A 24,791-nucleotide genomic window follows, 5' to 3' on the forward strand; every position below is an offset into this window, starting at 1 on the left:
TGAGATAGGATTTCACTTTGTCACCCAGGCTGGAGTGCAGTGATATGATCTCAGCTCACTGCAACCTCTGTTTCCTGGGTGCAAGCGATCCTCCCACCTCAGCCTCTGAGTAGCAGGGAGCCACAGGTGTGTGCCACCATGCCTGGCTGATTTTTGTATTTTTGTAGAGATGGTGTTTTGCCATGTTGCCCAGGTTGGTCTTGAACTCCTGAGCTCAAATGATCTGCCCGCCTTGGCCTCCCAAAGTTCTGGGATTACAAGCCTAAGCCACCACGCCTGGCGAAGCCACTGTGCTTGGCCTTTATGAAGTTTAATTTATCCATTAACATAATAGCAAGAAATACATATATTTTTAACTTTTATTTTAGGTTCAGAGGTACATGTGAAGGTGTGTTACATAGGTAAACTTGTGTCCTGGGGGTTTGTGGTATAGATTATTTCACCACCCAGGTATTAAGCCCCGTACCCAATAGTTATCTTTTCTGCTCCTCTCCCAAGGAATATTCTGTAACCATCTAAGAACAACTTCAGTTGATAAACTGGTCAAAAACTTAAATCTATAGACCTTGCTATAAAATTAATTTTGTTAATATTGAGTTTACTTTTTTAACTTATCTGTATCTGATTCCAAGGATCCCTTAGTTTTAGCAATTTTTGCCATCATTTAGTATTAATTAAATACAAACTTGTTTAAGTAAATAATGTGTTTTCCTCCAAGAAGCACTCAGAATGCATCAGGTAACTGGAAACAAATACATATCATGATGGAATGGAGTACATAAAAAATAAAGAGAAAGAGCAGCTTGTTAAATAAAGTAAAACATATTTTAAAATAATAATGCAAAGAAAAGGGGGAGAAGGAAAATTAGGGAGGGAAAGGAGTATTTATACTAGCATATCTACTCAAATAATATTATTATGGAAGTTACTAATGTAAAATATGATGTAATTATAATTTGTGAAAATGCACACAGATTTTTCCATTAGTGCCTGTAACGGAGCCCGTACTTTTCAGGCACATTAAACTGAGTCCCAACCCAGCCTCACTACAATCTCCAGTTCTTGTAGCTGTCCATCTACTACAGCATAATCCCAGCTGCCAATCTGAAAGAAACCAGCTAGTCAGAGCAGACACAACCAACAGAAACAAACGTCACTCAATAATGTTCAGCGGCACTGTGTTCATGGATAATTTCAAACAGTATCTCTGTCTAGAACATTGATGTGCTCATTCAAAACACCTCCATCTCTGGCTACTGGAAATGAGTAGATAAAGCAGCCTGCCTAGAAAAATAAGTGGAATGTCTTCAAAGAGGTTGCCAATGCTAAGAAGCAAATGTTGAGAAAACACAGTAAAGGTCTTAAAGGAAAAAAACTCAACAATATCCAGAGAGTTAATTTTCACATTAAGAAGGTTAAATTATTTCTCAAAACCAAACAAATATGTTTAAACTATGTCATGAAAAGCAGCAGTCATTGGTTATTCATTTGCTAAGAGTGACCTAGATGAAGTAAAGATGGTGCCTGAAAGGAAACAGGGGTTCATGACAAAAGTCATCAGTATAATAGAACGGCTCAGAATTCTGTAGGTAGTTAATAGGAAAAAAAATCATAAAAATATTAATATTTTGCTTCATGTCCTTGAGTGTATAATTTAGTTACACCTAACTTAACTAGTAAGTCTGCAAAAGACATAATAATGAGCAAAATACAAAGAGTAGCTTTACTGACAACTTTGATGCTCATTTAATTGAATAAGGGAATTTTTGTCTGATTATTGTGGTTTTGAAGTAAAAGAAAGTCTGGCATAATTTTATGGTATTTTAAATGTAGGTTTTCAATTAAAACCTGACTAATCCTTACCGTTTATTTGGCTTCTCATTGTACAGTTCCTGCCCTGCACTGTGTCAAATATGCCATCTGTGTAACACACTTTTGGCCAGAGGTACTTCATGATTATTTCTATAACACTTTGAATTGTGGCTGCATGAAATCTTAACTTCGGTATTCAATACTCCTAATTTACTATATTGCTACAACCACTGTAATCGTGTCCTACTCTTAAATCTCACCACAGTCACAACAAAGATTCTTGCGCCACCTGCTTGAAACAGGCTTACAGACCACTCCCCCAACTATTTAACAAATGTTAACAATGCTATAAATACTAATTGTGTTTATGCTTTCTGAAAGATTCACTGCAGCCAGTGTTCTGCAGCAGTGTTGGAGCTGCTGACTCCCACCAACAGACTGATGGAATTCTAAGCCAAAAATGCTTTTCCTTGGATAAGATATCTGATTTGCTACTGCTGTCATGAAACTGGGGTCATGTAAACTTAAACACTGCTGCTGCTTCTTTTGGAAAACAGACCTCAGAGTGATTACGCATAGCTAAGACAGCATTTGGAAGGATAAATTTGGAAGAGGGAAAACCAACCACTGACACTAAACACAACTTAGGGAAAATTTTCAGGTTTTACTTTCATGTTGAGGTCACTTGTATACAGTAATTCTTTAAACTGGGCAATATCACGGCTCTCCCCTCTCCCCTATTTATCAATGCAAATAGAGCTGAGTTCCATTTTCAAAAGGAAATTTAAAACTTTAATTAATTTCTGAACTCACATAAACATAAAACAATGTATTTACGTGAAAAGTAAAGAAGAAAATGACACTTTTAGAGGAAATGTACCAAGTACTTATAACAAAGTACAAGATGAAAAAGCACAGATAATATTGTTCATATTAAGGTTGTCTGACAGCAACATCTACCTGCAAGTATCTTTCAGCCTTTGAAGCCCCACCCCTTCTTCCAACCTCCAGTGTACCCCAAGATCTGCCCTGGTGTCCCTTATACAACAACTGCTCCAGCCTCTGCTGTGTTTGTACTTTTCCTTTGATCAAAACCTACTGTCCAGTCTTACTCACAGACAGCCACATGATTGGAAAGGATTTTTTTTTAAAGGATTTGTAACCAAATAAGTGATCTCTAATGGTAGAATTTCAGGCATTAGGAAAGGACAATGAGTTCTGTAGCAGAGGCTTTTTTTCTTTACATACACATCAAAGTGCATCAAAGAGGAACTTATAGCTAGACATTAACATGTGACTCTGGCATTAGTTACCAATTTGAGGATGAGAGCTTTCTAGTCTCTCACTTTATACTTTTTGTATTATTTGACTCTTGAAATAGTTAACATGTATTGCTTTGATAAATACATTTTTAAAGCACTTTGTATAACTATTTAATTATACACACACACACACACACACACACACACAAGTAGTGAACCCAGAGTTCTAGAATTCAGGAATCTTAAGCCAAAAGCCTTCTTGCTTTTAGATAATGACAAAAACTACAATTAACAGCGATACACCTAAGATATTTTCCCTGAAAGTAGAAGTGTTCTTTGTGCTCTCCCTCAAATATGATGGGAAAAATGAAGAAATAAACTCAAATGTTAAAAAGTATGAAAACTCCCATAGCTCAGTGGATTAAATAACATATATAGAAAATTAAGAGATTGGAGGTACTCTGATTTCTGAGTGAGATAAAAGTTAAGAAATTGTAAATTCCTTCATTCCTGTCAAAGTTACACGAAGATCATTATAGACGGTCAGTACCCTAACAACATTGAATGTTGAGAAAGAACATGGCCAAAACCCAGAACGCAATTACAAAAGACCTCTGAACAGCCAAAAACGAAGTCAGTATTCATATCCTCATGTTAACATACATTGCTTGTTCAAATTTTCAAGAAGCAGATTCTTTCCCCCTGAAAAGGGAGAAAGAGTTGTGTTTGGCTTTTTTTCTCTCTCTGATTTTCAAGAGACATAATTTTTTAGAATATAGAAAGAGGCAAATTAAAGAATTCCATGATCTCATTAACCAAAGATAATGACCATGAACATTTTGGGGTCCATAATTCCAGACTTTTCCTCATGCATTTGTATTTTATATGTTCCATAACATTGTCTATTATTCACTGTAATATGGCAAAATATTCTTCCATGGTAATACATATAGATTTACACAGCAACATTTTTGATGATACACAGTATTCTACTGTGTAAATTTACCAATATTTAATTAACTACTTCTCTACTGGAAATTTACGTTGCTCCTTTTCCTTTTTTTTTTTTTTTGCTATTATGATAATACGGTTTGGCTGCGTCCCTACCCAAATCTCATCTTGAATTGTAGTTCCCACAATCCCCACATCGTGAGAAGGACCCCGTCGGAGGTAACTGAATCATGGTGGTGGTTTCCCCCATACTATTCTTGTGATGGTAAGTTCTCACGAGATCTGATGGTTTTATAACGGGCATCCTCCTTCGCTCAGCTCTCATTCTTCTCTCTCCTGCCGCCTTGCAAAGAAGGATATGTTTGCTTCCCCTTTCACCATGGCTGTAAGTTCCCTGAGGCCTCCCTAGCCATGTGGAACTGAGTCAATTAAACCTCTTTCCTTTAGAATTACCCAGTCTCGGGTATGTCCTCATAGCAGCATGAGAACAGACTAATACATATGAACTATATAACTGAATATTTTTTTCACACTTGGTCAATTATTACTTTTGGTTAGAGTTCTAAGTAAATAGTACATGAACATTTTAATAATTGATACAGATTGCTATAAAGATTCAACCTATTTTCATCCTCACCAAATATATGACAGTATCTGTTTTCTCATACTGCACCAACATTAAAATTTTTATTATTTTTAATCTTAGATAATCTAGTGGACACAAATGTTATTGTGTGTTCAATTTAATGTCATTGATTAATAGTGAGGATGAACTACTTCTCTTACTGGGTCCTGCTCTTTGCCCAGGCTGGTCTCAAACTCCTGGGCCTAAGCGATCCTCCCACCTTGGCCTCCCAAAGCATTGGAATTACAGGTGTGAACCACTGTGCCCAGCTTAAAGTGCTTTTCATATGTGACTTGCATTTCATCTTTCATGAGTTTTCTATTCCTGTACTTTGTTATTTGTTGTTGCTTTAGATGTACAGAAACATCCTTTTCATGTAGTGTTTATACGTGAATATATTAATTTCCTTAAGGATTTTTAGCTTTGATATTAGACTTACAAAGGCCTTCCCCTTCATGTAATCAGGAACAGAAATGTCAGTGTGACAGGACACATCGATGAGGAAGAGAACAGACGACATGAGATCAGGGAGGTATGCAGGGCCAGATCATGTGAGTCAAGCAGATTTTATTCTATGTTTGATGTGAAATAGGAAAGTTTAAGAAGGAAGTGAAATGATCTGACTTACAGTTTCAAATACCACTTTGGCAGCTCGGTGGAAAGTGGACTGTAGGTAGGCAGGGACAGAAAAAGGTGACCTGGTCTACTAGCGTTAGTCCAGTGGGGAGAGTATGGTGGCGGCTTGAACTAATGATGAACAGATATGAATGGTTTCCAAATATGTTTTAGAGATCTCACCAGCCTAGCTGCTCTTTTGAGACAGAGTCTTGCTTTGTCACCCAGGCTAGAGTGCAGTGGTGTGATCTGAACTCACTGCAACCTCTGCCTCCCCAGTTCAAACAATTCTCATTCCTCAGCCTCCTGAGAAGCTGGAACTACAGGCGCATACCACCACGCCTGGCTAATTATTTGTATTTTAATTTTTTTAGGAACAGGGTCTCACTATGTTGCCCAGGCTGGTCTTGAACTCCTGCCCTCAAGCAGTCCTCCTGCCTCAGCCTCCCAAAGTGCTGGGATTACAGGTGTGAGCCACCTTGCCTGGCCTATCACCAACTTCTTATGCTCTCCCTTCCTACCACACGATTTTTTCAAGTCATAGAGCCATACTGTGCTCTTTTCCACATGCCATACTCTCCGCTTTGAATGTCCCTTCCATTTCTTTTGCTTCACTGACTTAACTCAAATTTCTTAAGGATTATGTTCAGACAGTTGATACTTTCTTAACCTGGGTTAGAAATGTCTCCTTTGTGCTCCCGTATTCAGTGACTGTCACATTGCCATATATATAATATATATATATTTATTTACATACACACAGACATATGCATATATGTGTATTTTTTAAAAAAATATATTTCTTACCTACTAAACTTCATCAATGAACTATTTCATACTAAGATACTAATGTCTAGATAGCTTTCAACCTTTGTATATTGCAAATAGCATTTATATGAAAATTAATGGGTGAATTCTGGATAAGGATATAGAATTGTTCTAGAAACCATGCCTATAGATATGATTATACTTTAAATATATTAATTTAAGGAAAATACTTATGTTAAATCTTTTAGAAGAGGGAAAATTATTTTATAAAATATTCATCATGTATTTAATTTGTGGATTTCGATTTTAAGAGAATTTTTTTAATTCGTAAAAATAGTTATTCTTACTCATATCTGACCCTGAGTTCAAATATTCTAATTTTTATCTTTTTTGAAAATTTCTTCTTTCCTTGGGTTTTACGTTTTTCAAAAATGGGGTTAGAAAGGCTTAATAAGATTGTGTTTGAAAGAAAAGACATGAATGAGCCAAATCAAAATCAGCAGAATAATCAGAAAATGACCAACTTTTATTTATTTGTCCCTTATCTATAAAAGAATATATGTAATATTGAGGAACTAGAATAGATTAAAAAAATGTTAAAGGCAGTGAAAAAAAGAATAGTGCCAAAATACAGAGAAATAAAGAAGAGTAAACAGATAAAGATAAGACTATATTCTTAAGTTGGGGTCACAAGATATTTTTTGAAAGATTAGCATATTTGTCCGAAAAAGAATTCTTTCTGGTGTGTGATATATGTAAATGCAGACATAGTTGTATATTGATAACCCAGCTGTTTTCTAAAAATTAAAAACAACATAAAAGTTTAATGTGCTGCAGGCTGTTTCTCTGATTACTCTTCCTCCTCTTATGGTTATTATTTCTATCGTTTAGTGCTCTTTTTATAGAGAGATTATTTTTATGATCACTTACTATGCCATGTGTATTAACCATTCATTATAAAATGGAAACTTTCTCAAGAAGAATGGCGCTTTTCCCAAAATAGTAGGTGATTACATGACTTGTATGTACACAACTTGCCTCTGTATGACTGGGAACGTATTTCCAGACTGAATTAAGTGTATAGAAGTGAACAGAAATAAGTAAAAGTATAGCTACTGAACAGAAATTAGTCTAATTTGCTTTTGATACTGGAAAGGTACAAATCTATCCTTGTACCATGATTGTGGTTTTGCAGAAATAATGCTTTAATATAAATCAAGCAGATATACAAATGTGCTAATATTAATGATATTAAAGCACCTTAGAGAAACAAGATTCTGAAGAAAAGAGAGGCGTGGCCTGGAGGTGGGGGTGGGGAGTAAATTAGTAGAAGGCAATAGTGAAAGTTTCACAACTGACATGAAGCCTGTGACAAGACTTGACTTGGAGGCTGTCCCAGGCTGGGCACTGCAGGGACATGCTTGGCTGTGGGAGAGCAGTAGGAGCTAACTCCCTGGTGCCCTTGTTTAGCTGTACTCCGATCCTAAAGTTTTAAAGGAAACACTGTTTATGAAGACAGAGAGGCAGTCATTAACCATCCCTTCTAACAGTTCTCCACCCTCACAGCACTTTGTATCACCTTACCCACTTCTATTTTCTTTATAGCACTTGTTATAATTGAAATTACAGTCTTTAAATTTTATTTTCTGTGTGCCCCATTAGAATGTGAGCTCCAGGAGGGAACAGACTTTGCCTGTCTTGCTCATCTCCACATTTTTAGCATCCTGAACAAAACGAATATTTGTTGAATAAATGAATTAGTAATGAATAAAAGGATAAACTTTCCCAGTTTATCACTCCCTTCCTTCCTTTCTTATCTACTCAATCCAGCCCAGGTTCACGTTTCATCTTTTCTACAACATCCCTTTAACAGTTTCATCAGCCACCCTTGCACCTTCAATCCTTTTTCATACATTTCACCATACTTCCATGGCAAACCCCACCTGTGTCTATCTTTCTGTCTCTCTCTCCACAAACACACAGGCGTGCACACACACACATCCCTCTCTGTTCAACTTTTTTCTACACCTATTCTCCTGATGTTGAAAACACAGAAAAACAATATTGAAAGGAAATTATAATTATTGAGCAGCACCCATTAAGTATAAATATTATCTCATCCTTAGCACAAACCCTCATAAACAGAATCTTGTTGCCTTTCCACCTCATTCATACACATTTACTTACACAAGTCCCCATGCTATCCGTCTACTCTCCAATCTGAGATGAGGCCCTATTGTTCCCTCCTGTTCAGTGCTTATCTCTATCTATGCTCTGGGTTTTGTTCTTCTCCACTTTCACACAGAGCTTGATAGTGTATTACACACTTTCTCTCCTGCATGTCTGACATGCTTCCCTCCTTTTGGATCTTTCCCATTAATATAGAAACATAGTCCAATATTTACTCATTAAAAAAAAATTATCCTTTAGAGCAACTGCTGGCGCATATAAAGATTTCTTTTTGTGGTGACAAAAATGCTCTTAAATTGTGGTGATGCTTGTACAACTCTGTGAATATACTAAAAACTATCATAAACTTTAAATGGGTGAATTGTAACATATGTGAACTATATCTCAATAAAGCTTAAATTATTTTCTTTATTTACTGTGTTTACTTCAACATCTCCCATTCATAACACAATCCTCTACTTTCTAAGCTATTTCTCTAAGATCACCAATGACCTCTTAGAAAAATCCAGTCAGTACTTTTTAGTTCTTATTTGTTCAATCTTCTTTCAGATTCTAAACAAACATATTAGTAACATGGGGCTATGTCACCAACCTTCAGTGGTTCCCTACTGCCTTATGATGCAGTTAAAAGTATTATTTTTTAAAGATAGGGTCTTACTCTGTCGCCCAGGCTGGAGTGCAATGGCAGGATCATAGCTCAATGCAGCCTCCAACTCCTGGGCTCAAGCAATCCTCTCATCTCAGCTAGGGCTATATGTATGTGCCACCATGCCCAGATAAGTTTTTCATCTTTTTGTAGAGATGAAGTCTTGCTATGTTGCCCAGGCTGGTCTTGAACTCCCAGCCTGAAGCCATTCTCTTGCCTTGGCCTCCAAAAGTGCTGGAATTATAGGTGTGAGCCACCATGCCCTGCTGAAAATTATGTTTTATGGTATTGAAGACTGTTTAAGATCTGGCTCCTGTGTCTCTCTCTCTCTCATCTGCTAACCTTTACTTCATTCCACATATACCATATTCTCTAGCCATCTCTTTTATCTATGTGCAGGAAGGGTATGCAGTTGCCTCTGTGTAGGTAACTTCTGCTCATGACTCTACCCAATGATCTTATTCATCCTTCAATATGCAACTCCAGCCTCTCATTCTCTGGAAAACATGCCTGGATTCTGTCAGTTTGGGCTTAGTACCTATCCTATGCTTGTGCATACATACTTACATATATTTATCTCTGTACTGAATTTATCAGATTATATTATAATTGTTTAGTTACACTTATTTTCCCATTAGATAATGAACTCTAGCTGAGGGAGGGCAGGGACTTTGCCTTTCAACCCTTTAACCTTATTACATGATTCGGGTTTAGTAAAAGGTTGTTGAAAAAATGAATAAATTAATGACCTATTCATGTTTTCTGCTTTCTTGCCTCACTTAACAATGAACTCAGCATGCATCCACTAGGAAATGGTCTCTGATAACTTCTCTAGTGTTAATGTTTTATGATTCTTTCTATGATCTAATCAGTAGTTCATATTCCTTTTATAGCTGTGTTTTCTAACCCAGGGATTTAACTGTGAGCAACATAAGGGAAAGAACTAACACTTGCTGAGTACTTATGAGGGGATAGGCACCATGCCAGGCGGTTTACATGCATTATATGTCATCTCATCCTCTGTAGAGTGGGCATTATCGTATGACTTCTATATATAGGAAACAGAGTCTGAGGAACACAACTAGTAGGCATCAGGGCCATGACTCAAATTCAAATTTATTTATTTGTTTGTTTCTTTGTTCATTCTATTATATCAAACTGCATTATACTATAGGATTTAGCACTGGTAAATGGTATGAAAAGGCTATAATAAAAGACTATTCCCCTCAACCTTTTTTTTTGAGACAGGGTCTCACTCTGTTGCTCAGGCTGGATTGCCATGGTACAATCATGGCTCACTGCAGCCTTGACCTCCTGGGCTCAAGCAATCCTCCCACCTCCCACAGCACCCAATAGCTGGAATTATAGGTGTACACCACCACACCCAAACAATTTTTAAATTTGTTGTGGAGATGGGGCCTCACTTTGTTGCCCAGGCTGCTCTTGAACCCCTGGACTCAAGTGATCCTCCTGCCGTGGCCTTCCAAAATGCTGGGATTACACGTGTAAGCCACTGCGCCTGGCCCCATTTATTTTAATGATATTCAGAAAGTTTTATAAATTAAATGTGTGTATTTATTTTAATAGTGCTAAGTAACAAAGCGATATATTCTCATTTCAAGAATATCAAATACCTACCATACTTAGAATATCACAGGCCATGTTTAATAAATGCCAAATCTAATACAGAATATATATTATATATAAGTCTATATAATGTATAATATAAAAACAAATTAAGGTGTGATGTGTGGAAGACTATCAGTTAAGGCTTAATTTTCTCATAATTAACTACTTAGGATTGTGGTAAAGAAAAGGAAGTCAAACTTAAAGCAAAAGTTTTAACGGTCTTTAGCAAAAGTTGATCATAAAAAATAAATATTAAAAACTTATCTGTGGCCGGGTGCGGTGGCTCATGCCTGTAATCCCAGCACTGTGGGGGGCCAAGGCTGGCAGATCATGAGGTCAGGAGTTCGAGACCAGCCTGGCTAATATGGTAAAACCCGTCTCTACTAAAAATACAAAAATTAGCCGGGCATGGTGGTGCATGCCTGTAATCCCAGCTATCCAGGAGACTGAGGCAGGAAAATCACTTGAACCTGGGAGGCGGAGGTTGCAGTGAGCCAAGATTACACCATTGCACTCCAGCCTGGCAACAATGTGAGACTCTGTCTCAAAAAAAAAAAAAAAAAAAAAAAAAAAAAACACTTATTTGTTATGATGCTTCTTCAAAAAGTTAAACTTGGAATTATCACATAATCCAGAAATTCCATTTCTGGGTGTATATCCAAAAGAATTGAAAGCAGGCATTTGAACAGATGGTGTACATCCATACTCTTGGCCACATTGTTCATAATAGCCAAAAGATGGAAACAACCCAAAATGCCCATTGATATATAAATGGATAAACAAAATGTGGTATATATATATACACAATGGAATATTACTCAGCCTAAAGAGAAAGGAAATTGTGATACATTCTATAGCATGGACAAATCTTGAAGATATTACGCTAAGTAAAATAAGCTAGACATAAAAAGACAAATGTTGCAGCATTCCACTTCTATGAGGTATTCAGGGTAGTCAAATTTATAGAGATAAAAAGTAGCATTGTAATTGTACAGGGACTGGGGAGGAAGGAATGAGGAGTTATTGTTTAATGCTTAGAGAGTTTCAGTTTGGGAAGATGAAACATTTCTAGAGATGGATGGTGGTGATGGCTGTACAAGAATGTCAATGTTCTTGATGCCACTGAACTGTAAACTCAAAAATGGTAAAAATGGCCAGGGGCAGTGGCTCAGGTCTGTAATCCCAGCACTTTGGGAGGCCAAGGGAGGCGGATCACTTGAGTTCAGGAGTTTGAGACCAGCCTGGGCAACATGGTGAGACCCCATCTCTACTAAAAATACAAAAATTAGCCAGGCGTGGTGGCAGGCACCTGTAATTCCAGCTACTCAGGAGGCTGAGGCAGGAGAATCACTTGAACCCAGGAGGCGGAGGTTGTAATGAGCTGAGCTTGCGCAACTGCACTCCAGCCTGGGTGAAAGAGCGAGACTCTGTCTCAAAAAAAAAAAAAAAACAAAGGTAAAAATGTTCAATTTTATGTTATATATATTTATCACAATAAACAATTTTATTTGAAATTATAATGTGTTAGTTTAGGTGAAAGAAAAAATATAATTGAGCTTACACCTATATTCAAATATATATCTAATGTCTACATGGAGTATTCCCACTTTGAAATATCCTACCAAGTCAATTTAACATTTATTTTTCCATTGTCTGATCACATATGCTGAACTCAGAGTAAGAAAAGATGGTCAAAGACAAACATAAGTCTTCTAACTCTCTGCTGTACAATGCTGTAGCCTCTAGTCATCTGTGCCTATTTAAATTTATATTAATTAAAATTAAGCATTTAGTTCCTTAGTCACACTAGCCACATTTCAATGTACAATAACTACATATGGTTCATGGTTTATTAGACAGTGCAGATAGAGAACATTTCCAGCACTGCAGAAAATTCTAGACAGTGTTCTTCTAGATTAACGCACAGTAAACTTCCTTAAACAATCATTGGTGTGTAAGTGGGGACAGTGGTCAATCCAGAATAAAAATAAAAAGCCAAGCACATAGAGTGACTCATAGAGGAAATAACTAGCTGATTGAGTGTACTACTTGTTAACTAGCCATGACAAACAGATATAGGCCAAGTGACATTTTTAATCATGAAAACATTGCGTAACCTTTAATGAAAAGTAGAGCTACTTATGTCATCTTGGACATACCAAGAGACAAGTCTTTTAAGTAATAGGATCTTGCATTGAGAGAAACAGTGTTAAGCATATTTTCACAGCAACTCTATAGAACATTACAGAATTTCAAAATTAGAAATACGGAGATTGCATATAGTGACACAAAAAATATATACTGGCATAGTAAGTACAACCAATTTATGCTGGTACAAAAAACAATATGCTGGTATATTAAATACAACCAATCTCTTTTTAAGAAATTATAAAATCAGTTCTACAGTGAGAATTCAGTTATATATCAGCTATGTAGAGATATGGATAATTACTACAGGATAACAGGAGAAAACAAAAATAGCTGGTATATTTGTTGAAGAATTATGGGCATTTAACAGAATAAAGTATTACGTTCAAATATTGCCAAAATGAACAAAAAAAAGAAAGTAAATAGGCCTATGCTATTTTATCCCAACAATAAAACTATGCAGTGTTTTGTAACACTACCTGTATGTTGCTCTCACCTCAATACCTTTATGGAATCCTATGTATATTCTGTGTCATACAGTCAATTGATGTTCTGATCAAATAAAATACCCCCAGAAGGAGTATTTTCAAAAAACTGAACAACTGGAAGAGTCTTTAAGAGTTTATGTGACCCAATTCTCTGCTACCACAGTTTTTAAAACTGAAACATAGCAATTTAAAACTTGGGCAATTTAATGCAAGTGTACATCTAGTACACAGTGCTTTTGTGTGCATGCTAACTTATCTAGCACATAAGCCAGGTGATAATATGCCAATTTATTTAAATATGTACTTACATACCTTCCGCATGATCAGATCTTAGTAGAACTATAAAAGAATGCATCAAGTGCTAGGGAAAAATGGCAAATCTCACACATTACAAATAATGTTCCCTTCAAAGTGATATATAACTTGCCCCATGAATCAAAGCTCCTGGTTTCCTAAACGCAGTTGTGTTCTAAAATTGTACAGATTAAGGTTGTATCATTCAATTCTATAATTTTTCATATGAAGTATATTGGAATTAGAAGGATGCATAATTAGATTAGAAATACTAAAAAAAGTAAGGTCTTCTACAGACTTTTTGGTGAGTGCTGCATTTGCCAAAATCATGTTTTAAGTGTTTTACTTGAGAAAATAAATGACAAGAATAAAACAAGTTCAATAACATCTAACAACAATTTGATCACATAGGAAAGATTTGGACTTCAACCCCCCCATTAACTTCTATGTGGTTATATATGTTCTTAGGTATTACATATAAATATGTGTTTTATCACATTTCAATAAATTTATGCTCATAATCATATCTCTTTAATGAATTATTACTATTTTCCTACAAAAATCATGAGTAACCCCCAAAGTTATATAAAATTATAAATAAGATTATTTATACCTTAACAGGTTCAAATAGAAAAAGCCGTCATCTTATATTGGGTCAAACATTTTGTTGGAAGGAACCTCTGGGTTCAAGTTCTTGCTAGGTCACTGATAAATTATTCTGCTTAAGGCACTTTACATCTAGTTTCACTTTCTTCATCACTAAAATCAAAGGATGGGGGAGGTGTTCTCTAGCTCCTTCTAGTTTAAATATACCTGACTATAAGTTGCTTTCTCAATTCAGATAACTTACCTCTCTCAACACAGGATCAGTTATTGAATTCAGATTGACAGCTCCTTCATAGGTCAAGTAATAGAACACATTGAGGGCTCGGACAGCTTCTGGTCCTTGCTGTTTATAGCCAAAAATGAGATCAATCCATTGGTGAAGCTGGCAGGAAACAAATTCACTCTCCAGGGCCTGAAAAAAGGTATACATTGTATTACTATGCTGAATTCCTTTTTAAAAATATAGAGAGACATTTAGAGCAATCAGTAAAGTTTAACACTAACTTTACTGTGAACAAAGATTTTTAAAAAACAAAACTTGTGGCCGGGCGCAGTGGCTCACGCCTATAATCCCAGCACTCTGGGAGGCCGAGGTGGGCAGACCATGAGGTCAGGAGTTTGAGACCAGCTTGGCCAACATGGCGAAACCCGGTCTCTACTAAAAATACAAAAATTAGCTGGGTGTGGTGGCCTGCGCCTGTAATCCCAGCTATTCAGGAGGCTGAGGCAGGAGAATCGCTTGAACCTGGGAGGCAGAGGTTGCAGTGAACCGAGATCACGCCACTTCACTCCAGCCTGGAAAAGAGCGAAACTCCATCTCAAAAAAAAAAAAAAGAAAGAAACTTATCTGATGTCCTAGTTTCTACCAGAATCTGTCCTCCTTGGTTTATAATTAGAGGCTTTCCGGCACTTGGCATAATTAATTACAATAAATGTGTAAGTTTCAGTATTTTTCTACCGTACTGACAGCACTGAGGACCAGGACTGGGCCTATCTTGGTCACATTTGTAACTCAGGGCCTGACAGGTACTCGATTTATGCTTCAAAGAAAGGAAGCCATACAAGGCAAAGACTATTTTGGGAAACTAAATGTGAAAATGTTAAAAATTTACCATCCACTTGAAATATTTATTATTTTTCTAGAATTAAAATATTTTGTAGTCTATTTCAACATGTTTAACCAAATTATTTAGTTATGTTGATTGAGTTCTTATGCTAACAAATTAGATTTTGTGGGGGATACCTATAATTACTGAATTTTTATTCTAGGTATTAATATCAAACCTGACCAAATATTTGATGCTATTAACATAATAGTGTCCAATAAATAACGAATGAACACAATCAAGTATTTGGTTGAGATGCTAGGCACAAGATCCATTTCCTATCCATCATTATATTCCCAGCTACAAGCGTTGTGCCTAAAACATAATAGATGCCAATAATGTTTGGTGAATTTAATAACGTTATAAATACTAAAGACTTTTAAAAACTAAAGATATTTTTTAGGAAACTATCCATCTTTATATTATTTAATATTGTTCAAAATCATTCCAACATCAAAGTTTAGCATTATGGATTAGTTTAACGATAAATAATTATATTAAAATCAAAGAGTTTTCAAACATAAACTCTAAAGCTTAATTAAAAGTATACAGTAGGCCGGGCACGGTGGTTCATGCCTGTAATCCCAGCACTTTGGGAGGCTGAGGTGGGCGGATCACGAGGTCAGGAGATCGAGACCATCCTGGCTAACACAGTGAAACCCTGTCTCTACTAAAAATACAAAAAATTAGCCGGGCGTGGTGGCGGGCGCCTGTAGTCCCAGCTACCCGGGAGGCTGAGGCAGGAGAATGGCATGAACCCAGGAGGTGGAGCTTGCAGTGAGCCGAGATCGCGCCACTGCACTCCAGCCTGGGTGACAGAGTGAGACTCCGTCTCAAAAAACAAAACAAAACAAAAAAACTATACAGTAATCCCCCCTCATCCACAGGGGTATGTTCTTCGAAGACCCCCAGTAGATGCCTGAATCTGTGAATAGTACCAAACCCTATACCTATATGTACTATGTTTTTTCCTATACATAAATACCTATGATAAAGTTTAATTTATAAATTAGGCACAGTAAGAGATAAACAACAATAACAACAAAATTGAACAATGATATACTGTAAAGAAAAACCATAATAAATGTTATGTAAATATGGTCTCTGTCTCTATCTCAAAGTATCTGATTGTACTGTACTCACACATTTTCAGACCTTGGTTAAACACAGGTAACTGGAATTCTGGAAAGCAAAACTGTGGATAAGGAGGAGACTGCTGTACCAACTTATATCTGGTAATGTATCTCATTGAAATTGATTTTTATTTTTAGAGTAGTAAGTCTATGATTGTGATGTATTTTCAGTATGGCTTGCTGCTATGTTATAAGAGATCTGTTGGTTTTAAAACAAAACTGACCAACTTGTATAGCAAGTAACCAATGAGACATAAACCATCTTGTGACAAAAGACGTTCCTATTCCTTTACATGTGGACACTTGTGTAAAGATACGCTTTATTAAAATAAGTGCCTATGAAAAAGAAATGTTTATAGCTAAATACAAAAAAAATTTCCTTTAATATTTAACATAGCTTTATGATATATCACAAATATAAAATTGAAAATATAATTTTGTAAACAAAACTCTATGCAATTCTCACATCCCAAAGTATACTTTAAATGAAATATGCCTTAAAAATACTTAGCTAGGTTCAATTGAGAAAGTTATTGTTTTAGACATCTCTTCTAAAATGCTTTACATTTACAAATTTATTAAACAGATATGACAGCACAAAACTGCTTCATATTTTACTTGAAATAAGAAGAGAGGAGCTTGTGATAACTTTAAGTAAATGCCTATTTTAAGTACATAAATTTGAAAAAAATCTAGGAACTACTAATGCAAGTTACACACAGAAATGATACGTTGGTTTCATTAACTTAGACCTTGGGTAGGGATGGGGGTATGGGGTAGGCACATTTACAATGACACATAAAAACAGCAATTGTCTTAATTTGTGTGCAGTGCACTCTACACAAAAGCCCTAAATATGTTCAAATTAGAGCAAGCTGCTTGATTGTCACTGCAGTCTCATGTCACATTAATGCATGACAAACATTAAACCATACACTTAAATGGCAATTTATATCATTTAAATGTTTACTGCCAGACTAGCTCATCACTCATTTAAATGTGACTTTCTGACAGCTAATTTCAGTTAATTTTCTCCAATTCACTTAATTAGAACTTTCAATCAGGGAAGGACCTATGCATATCTTCAGGCTTACATCCTTTTTGGTGGCTGTTCGAAATCTGAGTTCATAAACTGCCGAAAAGCTCTACTATAATAGATTAGCATATAATATCTCTGAGTTTACAAAAAATATGACTCTATGAAGAGTATATACTCACAGTATATACTCTTAGAAAGAACTTATACTTATTTATGTAAATAGTACTCTTGCCAGTAGTTTAAATAAAAAACGTGTAGTTCATATACACACACTATTGAAACAATAAACAAACCCTGCATCCAAGCTAATTAAAAATTAATGATTTCAAAATTGTTTAATAAGATAAAACAGTCAGGAGTCTCCTGAGTGTCCATGGTGTTGTGATTTGAGACCATAAAATTCTAGAAGGCTCAGCAAATGACAAAGTACAAATGAATTTTCTCAATATTAAAGCTCTAAAAACTAGGGCAATTTTATTTTATGTGTCACCAAACAAAGAACTGTTGAATTTTCCTTACGGTTGACTACTTCTTTATGCACACTCAAAATGGTAAAGTTGGTTAGATTTCGATGCTTAAAGCTTTACATCTTGATACTGCATCAGAATTTTAAGCAAAAATGCTGAAAGGAAAGCTACCGTGTGCTCATATCATGCTGCAAACACACATGCAGAGATCACCACAATGCCATGGTTCAGACCTCACCTTACATTGTCATAGGTCAGTCCTTAAGGAGTTGACCAGTAATTCGCGGAACTATTGGCAAAATCACTTCCAGAAGTTGATAAACACGTTACCTTCATGAATATACTTTAAATAATTTCTCAAACACTCAACTAAAAATTCCATTAGTCAGCTTCAAGCATGTCTTGCAATATACCAAAGCTTTAAAAAGGGACCTAAAAGAACAAAGTGGTAAGTATAAGAGAATTCCAAGAAGTTTCAAAGTCATTTCAGTACAAAGTCAGCTCCGAACTTTAACATCCTTTTGCTATCAGTGAATGACAACTGCCTAACCAAAAGTAGGTAATGCACTTAAGACTTGAGGGGAGAGAGAAGGACAGGCAGGAAGAAATTAAGGGAAAAAATACAAACAGAATGTAATTCAAAATGGAATACCCTGAGGTTGCCTTTTATAACTCCCATTTTTAAGATTTAAAAACATAAATCATAAAACCTATATTAAAATAGCTTTTTTATATATTAAGATTTTTTAAAAAAATTCTTCATATATAGAAAATTCTCATTTAGATCTACATTTTTAGTTACAAAAAAATGAAAAATGCCAGTGGAATGCTGAGCATTTGAGATTTTTCAAAGCCTTCAAAACCGACAGTCCTCATTAAGCCTGGAGTTAAATACGGTTTGCAGCTAGGGGATAGTAACATTCTTCCCATGCTGCTCTCAAACCTAACCAATCAATTGTTAGTACTCCCCTAGCAGGCTGCATACATCACTTACATCCAATGTGTGCTCTGAGTAATATTTGTAAAAAAGAAAATCCACTAAAATGTCCAACACAATATAATAATATTCAACTCATCTGAGTTATTATAAAATAAATCAGTGACTAATGTCCAATTGTTAAGGATCAGATAAGACTATGAAAAGACTATCATATGAAGCCTCACACGAATGTTCAATCCAATCCAGGGGGACTCATATTAGTGTTGACAAACTGTCTTGGCGCTGATATCTGTTTTTTTTAATGAGATCTATTAGGCAGAGTAAAATACTTCAGATATGCTAAAAAGTACAGTATACAGATGTCAAATACACTTATTACTAACTTTCATTTGTTTGTTCTGCATACAGAATATCAACAAAGTTTTAATATTATAAAGATAATAGTAAATTATTCATAAATAGGAGGTTTGTATAACCCTGTGTCAGAAATAATTACAATATGTGTGTGTGTGTGTATATATATATGTGTGTGTCTGTGTGCATGTTTAGCAAATCTCACTGAAAGAACACAATCTATGCTTTCCTGAAACTAACTCACTTAAGAAATAGATTATTTCTTTATAAAAAGTGTTATATAAAATTATTATTTTCTATAGTGGAGTCAAAAAATGTGATAACATATAGAAACAGCTTTTTCCAAGAAACTCTAAGCTATTTGAGAATAAAAATTCTAAACTAAAAGGCATTAACTATGTATTTAATCTACACATGCATTAGTGATACACTAGCAATTTCCTTTTATTTTCAAAAAACCAAATTTTTGCCAATGTAAAAATCAAGAAAACCAATTTCAATCAACAAAGGAAATTATTAGATAATTGTTTACCTCAAGACCAAGAAACCTTATTTGTTTATTATTTATGTTTCTCATACTTGTCATTCCCAGCTTAATGCTAATATTTACTTATTCTTTGGCTAAACATTCTCATACCACTCCATTAAAAAAAGAAACTAAATAAAAACTAGCAATATCTATGGGATAAATGATTTTTATAAAAAGTTAAATAAAAAGATCAAATATTCTTTATACACTTTTTATAACCAGAGAGAATAGGCCTAGGCAGCCCAGAAATACATTTCTGCACACCTGTACCACTACTTCCACTCCCAGGCTTCTAGAAGGCCCAAGGTACAAAGGTTCTGAGATACAAAATACCATAGCTGTAAGTTTCAAATGAGAAAATGAAAATCACTGATTAACCCTCCTGACTTGAAATACATTTACTTATAAGATGTATTTAATCGTATTTATAATGAATGAAACATCCATTTTGTAAAATTTTAATTGTACTTATAATTAAGAGTCTTAATTCATTTGAACATAGATAACAGTATGTTTTAAAGGAACTGACATTGAGATTGGCAAGGCGGTAATATACAAAGTTATAAACTTGGAATTTTAAGTATTTTTCATTTTAAATCCATGTAATACGGCCTTCTTCCTATACAAACACATATACACACAGAGATTTAAAATGAACTGGTCTGTTATGTTTGCATGTGTTGGATTTCAAACACTAGTGGTAATGTTTCCTTAACATTGATATATGACCTTTGTAATTTACATTGAAGAAAGCTGTTTTTTTCAGCCTAATTAGAACTGTTTCAAATTTTCCTGCTAAATATATGATATAAAGTCCTTTCAACTTTTTTATTCTAGAGTTTCTTTCCATGTCAACTTTGTTCCAATCAAAATATGCTTTGAATTAAATGATTTTGATTGAATATGTGGATCACATTTCACTTCTAAGATGTAAAGTCCAAAAAGGAAAAGTTTAGCCTGTTCAAACAAAGCAAGAGCAGCCACTTTGCGGAAAGCTATTCACATTTAAGAAGACTGACAAATTGTTTGTGTGCACCATTAGGTCTAGTTTCTGCAATAGTTGCCAGATTTCCTGTCCCCCTAATAAGATGCATTAACTCCTTAAATGCTGGCTCTGAATTTGCAGTGAATCTGAGTTACTTTAGCAAATTTCAATTTTATCTATAGGTAAATTTCCTTATTTGAAATAAATCTAAAGAAAATAAAAGAAAATTTGATGTTAACTATGTTGTATCAAAATTTTCTAACAAAGGTCACAGAAAATTAACATTTTTTCATATTGGTTGGATATAAATTCAGAATACAAATATGTTTTCTATATGTGACTTGCCAGAAGTGACAAATTCACATCAATCCTCATTTAAAAAAAATGCATCAATTTCACTAATTTAAAGATTACATCTTCAGGTAAAACACAATGGAAATATTTAATAAACTAAAATCCATGAATATGAGCATCAATTTCCTCCACATTGATTATATATAAAACACAATGCTTCAGAGTTCAGCTATTTACCTTAATATACATATATATATAATGTGAAACAAGCTTTATCCTATTTACAAAGAAAAGTTTAATTTTGAGAGCTTAAAAATATGTGTGAAATTGTGACATTAAGATCAATAAGTCATGAAGCCCAAGAAAGTAAAAATGGAGGATCAAAGATTTAGGGAAAAAACTGTGGGATGCTAAGAATAAAAATTGTATCAGACAGTTTTAAAAAATGAAATTTAGTCAACAACATACTGAAGTTCAGCCTGAAAAGCAGATAGAGAAATCACTAAAAGGGGTTCTATACTTCTAAACTGCCCTTGAACTGTTGGGCAGAAGAGATATTTTGAGCCAGCAGTACACAGTTCATTTCTACATTTATATCATTACTAAAGAAAAGTGTGAGTTAGTATCGTATCTTGATATAACTATCAAGCACTCGTGCATCTTTTGGCAGGAGAATCATTCTGTCTACGATTGTTATTGTGTAGTTTTAAATGGACTAGTCAACCAGCTGTTATATATTTTATACACTGAAGGCCATGTTTCCTTTGAAATTCATAGTTTTAATCTCAACTGAAGTCTGTATTGCTGTGTGCCAAGATCAAAAGGATTAGACAAACTTGTACAATTACCTTCCTTTACAGAGAGATGATTTTTAAAAAATGTTTAAAATACTCCTATATACTGACATTTTATCCAACTATTTTCTTTAGAACTACAGAACATTAAAACATTTAATTAACATTTCAACCTTAGGTCACTTTTCATCTAAAATCTAGGAATTCACAACATACAGATATGCTAAACTAATTATAGTATCACACACATAGGGATATTGAGCTTTTTTTTTTTTTTAAAAAAAACCTTTAGTTTATTAAAAATGGATGGGGAAAAATTATACCTATTTCTTTTATGTGTTTGCATTTTGCAAGCCTTTGCTCAGAAAATAATTCATAGAGCTTACAGTGATATATATGCAGCAAGATACAAAAGAGAAGTGAGGCAATGCAAAATTTAAAGGGAGATATCACATAAAAACTATGCCATGAAATTTCAAATACTTGTTTTAACAAATCTATATATGCTGAGCCATGTATTTGCTGCTAAGCTTTCTAGCAGGCAACATAAAGAAAGAAACACGAACAATTACAGGAGACAAAAATGACCATAATGTAAAAACAAACCAGATGGCCTGGAAAAACACATTATTTCTATTCCTGAGATAAGAAATTCCTCCCTTGGCAATATGATGGAATCCAGGTATGTAACTCTCAGAGGGACTGAGTTAATCCTGAGATAGATTTAAAGTATAGACAAATGGGGAGACCACATATTCTTCAGATAATCTTGCACAAACATTATTTCTCTTAGAAAGGCTTTGAATGGTAGGTTCTAGATTGTGCTTCATGACAAGTACCTGGAATTAAGCTATTTTATTTTGTTAGTTAAATGCAGAGCTAATATGCTTTGATAACAGGTAAACTGAGTCCCAGGACTAATAACCTCCTAAGAATGTGAAGAGTATAAGGAGAAGGACACAGCCTGTATGAAAGGCAGGCTCACCATTACTTGGAAGGTAGACTAGCCTGCCTTAAAACAGGCTCAAAGGTAAACTTTCTCACATAGATAAATATGCATCAAAAACTTCCAAATTCCAAACATGATGCTGTAATATTTATAGACATTAAAATGTTTAAAACAGGTATACTAGATGTTCAACTCTTTAAAAAATTAGTAAAGTATCCCTAGAAACTTAATGTTGAGGACTTTATATTGCTGTTATATTTTCTAAGATAAACTAGTTATAAACATAGACATAAGTAATTAAAATATTAATTTAAAGTGGTCAATTATCCACCTAGGTATAGAAAAATGAATGTTTCCTCTTCAGCAGCCATCACAAAATGTATTAATTTACTGTATGAACTCCTGTAGGTTTTATATTATATAGTCAGTTACAAAAGGAAGGAAAACAAAATAAAAAAAATTTAATCCCTTCCCATTTGCTTATCCATATAGATCTGATAAATACTAGCAGTCTCTTGCCTTTGAAGATGGCCAGACCAGAATCTCTACTTATTGCCAGATGTAGTTTAATCCCATGAGGACTCCAGACAAAAACAAGGAGCTGTCTGCATGGCACCAATGATTCCCTGGACTGACTGCCATAAACTTATACTGGCAAATCAAAATCCTTGGCAAAGTAGAACATTTATTATGTCATTACTCCTAAGAATATCCAATAAAGAAAAACTTGAATTAAAAAAAAGCAAAAGTTGCTGAATATAAAGCATTAAGTTCTGCCAGAGAATCAAATTACATCTGCATTTACTTTGTGTATGCGATTGCATACTTGTATATTATATAGGACTAAAAGTATTATACATTCTGCAACTTTCTATTAATGTTAGCATCTCTCTCATCTATTCATTCAGTAAATATTTATTGAGTGGTTACTATTGGTCTTGTGCTAGACTCTGGGGATACTGAAATGAGACATCCCTTTGGAAGAAGGAAAGGGGAGCAAAAGGTCAGCTCTAAGACTACTTTCATAGTCTAAGTGAGAGGTAGTGAGAGCCTTAATCAAGAAAGTAGCATCCGGAGTGAAGAGGGGACAGAGTTCAGAAAGATTTAAGATACAAGTTATTACTTACAGCAACTGATTACCAGTGTGAGGGGTGAAGAAAAAGGAATTTTGGGTGATCAGTTTGAACCTTAACCATACTAGAGGAGAAATTGTTTACATGGTAGAAGATTAGTTGAGTTTTGAACTTAGTATTAATATTTTGGACTTCCTTTTATAGACTTGAAATTAACCCTTTGTTTTGGATCTAAGGCTGAGAATTTTAGTGGAAGTTTGTACACTATTAAAGTATTAAAATATGTTTGACCAGGCGCAGTGGGTTACACCTGTAATCCCAGCACTTTGGGAGGCCGAAGCGGGTGGATCACGAGGTTAGGAGTTCAAGACCAGCCTGGCCAACACAGTGAAACCCCGTCTCTACTAAAAATACAAAAAATTAGCTGGGCGTGGTGGCGCGCATCTGTAATCCCAGCTACTCAGGAGGCTGAGGCAGGAGAATCTCTTGAATCCGGGAGGTGGAGGTTGCAGTGAGCCAAGATCACACCACTGTACTCCAGCCTGGGTGACAGAGCAAGACTCCGTCTCAAAAAAAAAAGAAAAAAAGAAAATATGCTCATGTTCAATAGTGGAATGCACAAGCCAAAAAAATTCTGTGTAACAAAATCACCCCAAGGATTTTATACCAGTTTTGTCCAACAGATATATATCCATGCCAGATATGCAATTTAAAATTTTCTAGTAGCCACATTTTTTTAATTTATAAAAAATTTTTTTTAAAAAATGACACAGGGTCTCGCTGTGTTGCCCAGGCCAGTCTTGAACTCCTGAGCTCAAGCAATCCTCCTGCCTTGGCCTTCCAAATTGCTGGGATTACAGGCTTAAGTCACCATGCCCAGCCTATAGTAGCCACATTTTAAAAAGTAAAAAAAAAAAAAAAGTAAAACTGTTTTAATGACATGGTAATATTTTATCAAGAATATACAAAATATCATTTCAACATGTAATCAACATAGAAATTATTTTGTATTAAATCTCAGAAATCTGGTATACATTTTACACTTACAATGGACAGCACATGTTGATCACACTAGCCACATTTCAAGTGATCAA

At 35.0% G+C, this 24,791-nt stretch overlaps 1 protein-coding gene across 11 annotated transcripts in view, besides 1 other annotated feature; it reads right to left on the reverse strand.

Moving 5' to 3' along the window:
- Positions 1-24,791, reverse strand: part of LRBA (LPS responsive beige-like anchor protein) — a 751,293-nt gene that overhangs the window by 71,279 nt on the left and 655,223 nt on the right. For all 11 annotated transcript variants that reach the window (XM_047416462.1, NM_001367550.1, NM_006726.5 and 8 more), the window contains one exon: positions 14,279-14,446. In XM_047416462.1, the coding sequence (XP_047272418.1) occupies positions 14,279-14,446 (168 nt within the window). The remainder of the gene's footprint in view (positions 1-14,278; positions 14,447-24,791) is intronic.
- Positions 2,104-2,398: a silencer, noted in NCBI's record as "tiled region #13510; K562 Repressive DNase matched - State 13:Ctcf". NCBI's record gives its function as "represses a minimal TATA promoter and a strong SV40 promoter by Sharpr-MPRA in K562 cells {active_cell/tissue: K562}" and the evidence as "EXISTENCE:reporter gene assay evidence [ECO:0000049][PMID:27701403]".

Source organism: Homo sapiens, chromosome 4 (assembly GCF_000001405.40).
Source record: "Homo sapiens chromosome 4, GRCh38.p14 Primary Assembly".
NCBI classification, from domain to species: Eukaryota; Metazoa; Chordata; class Mammalia; order Primates; family Hominidae; genus Homo; species Homo sapiens.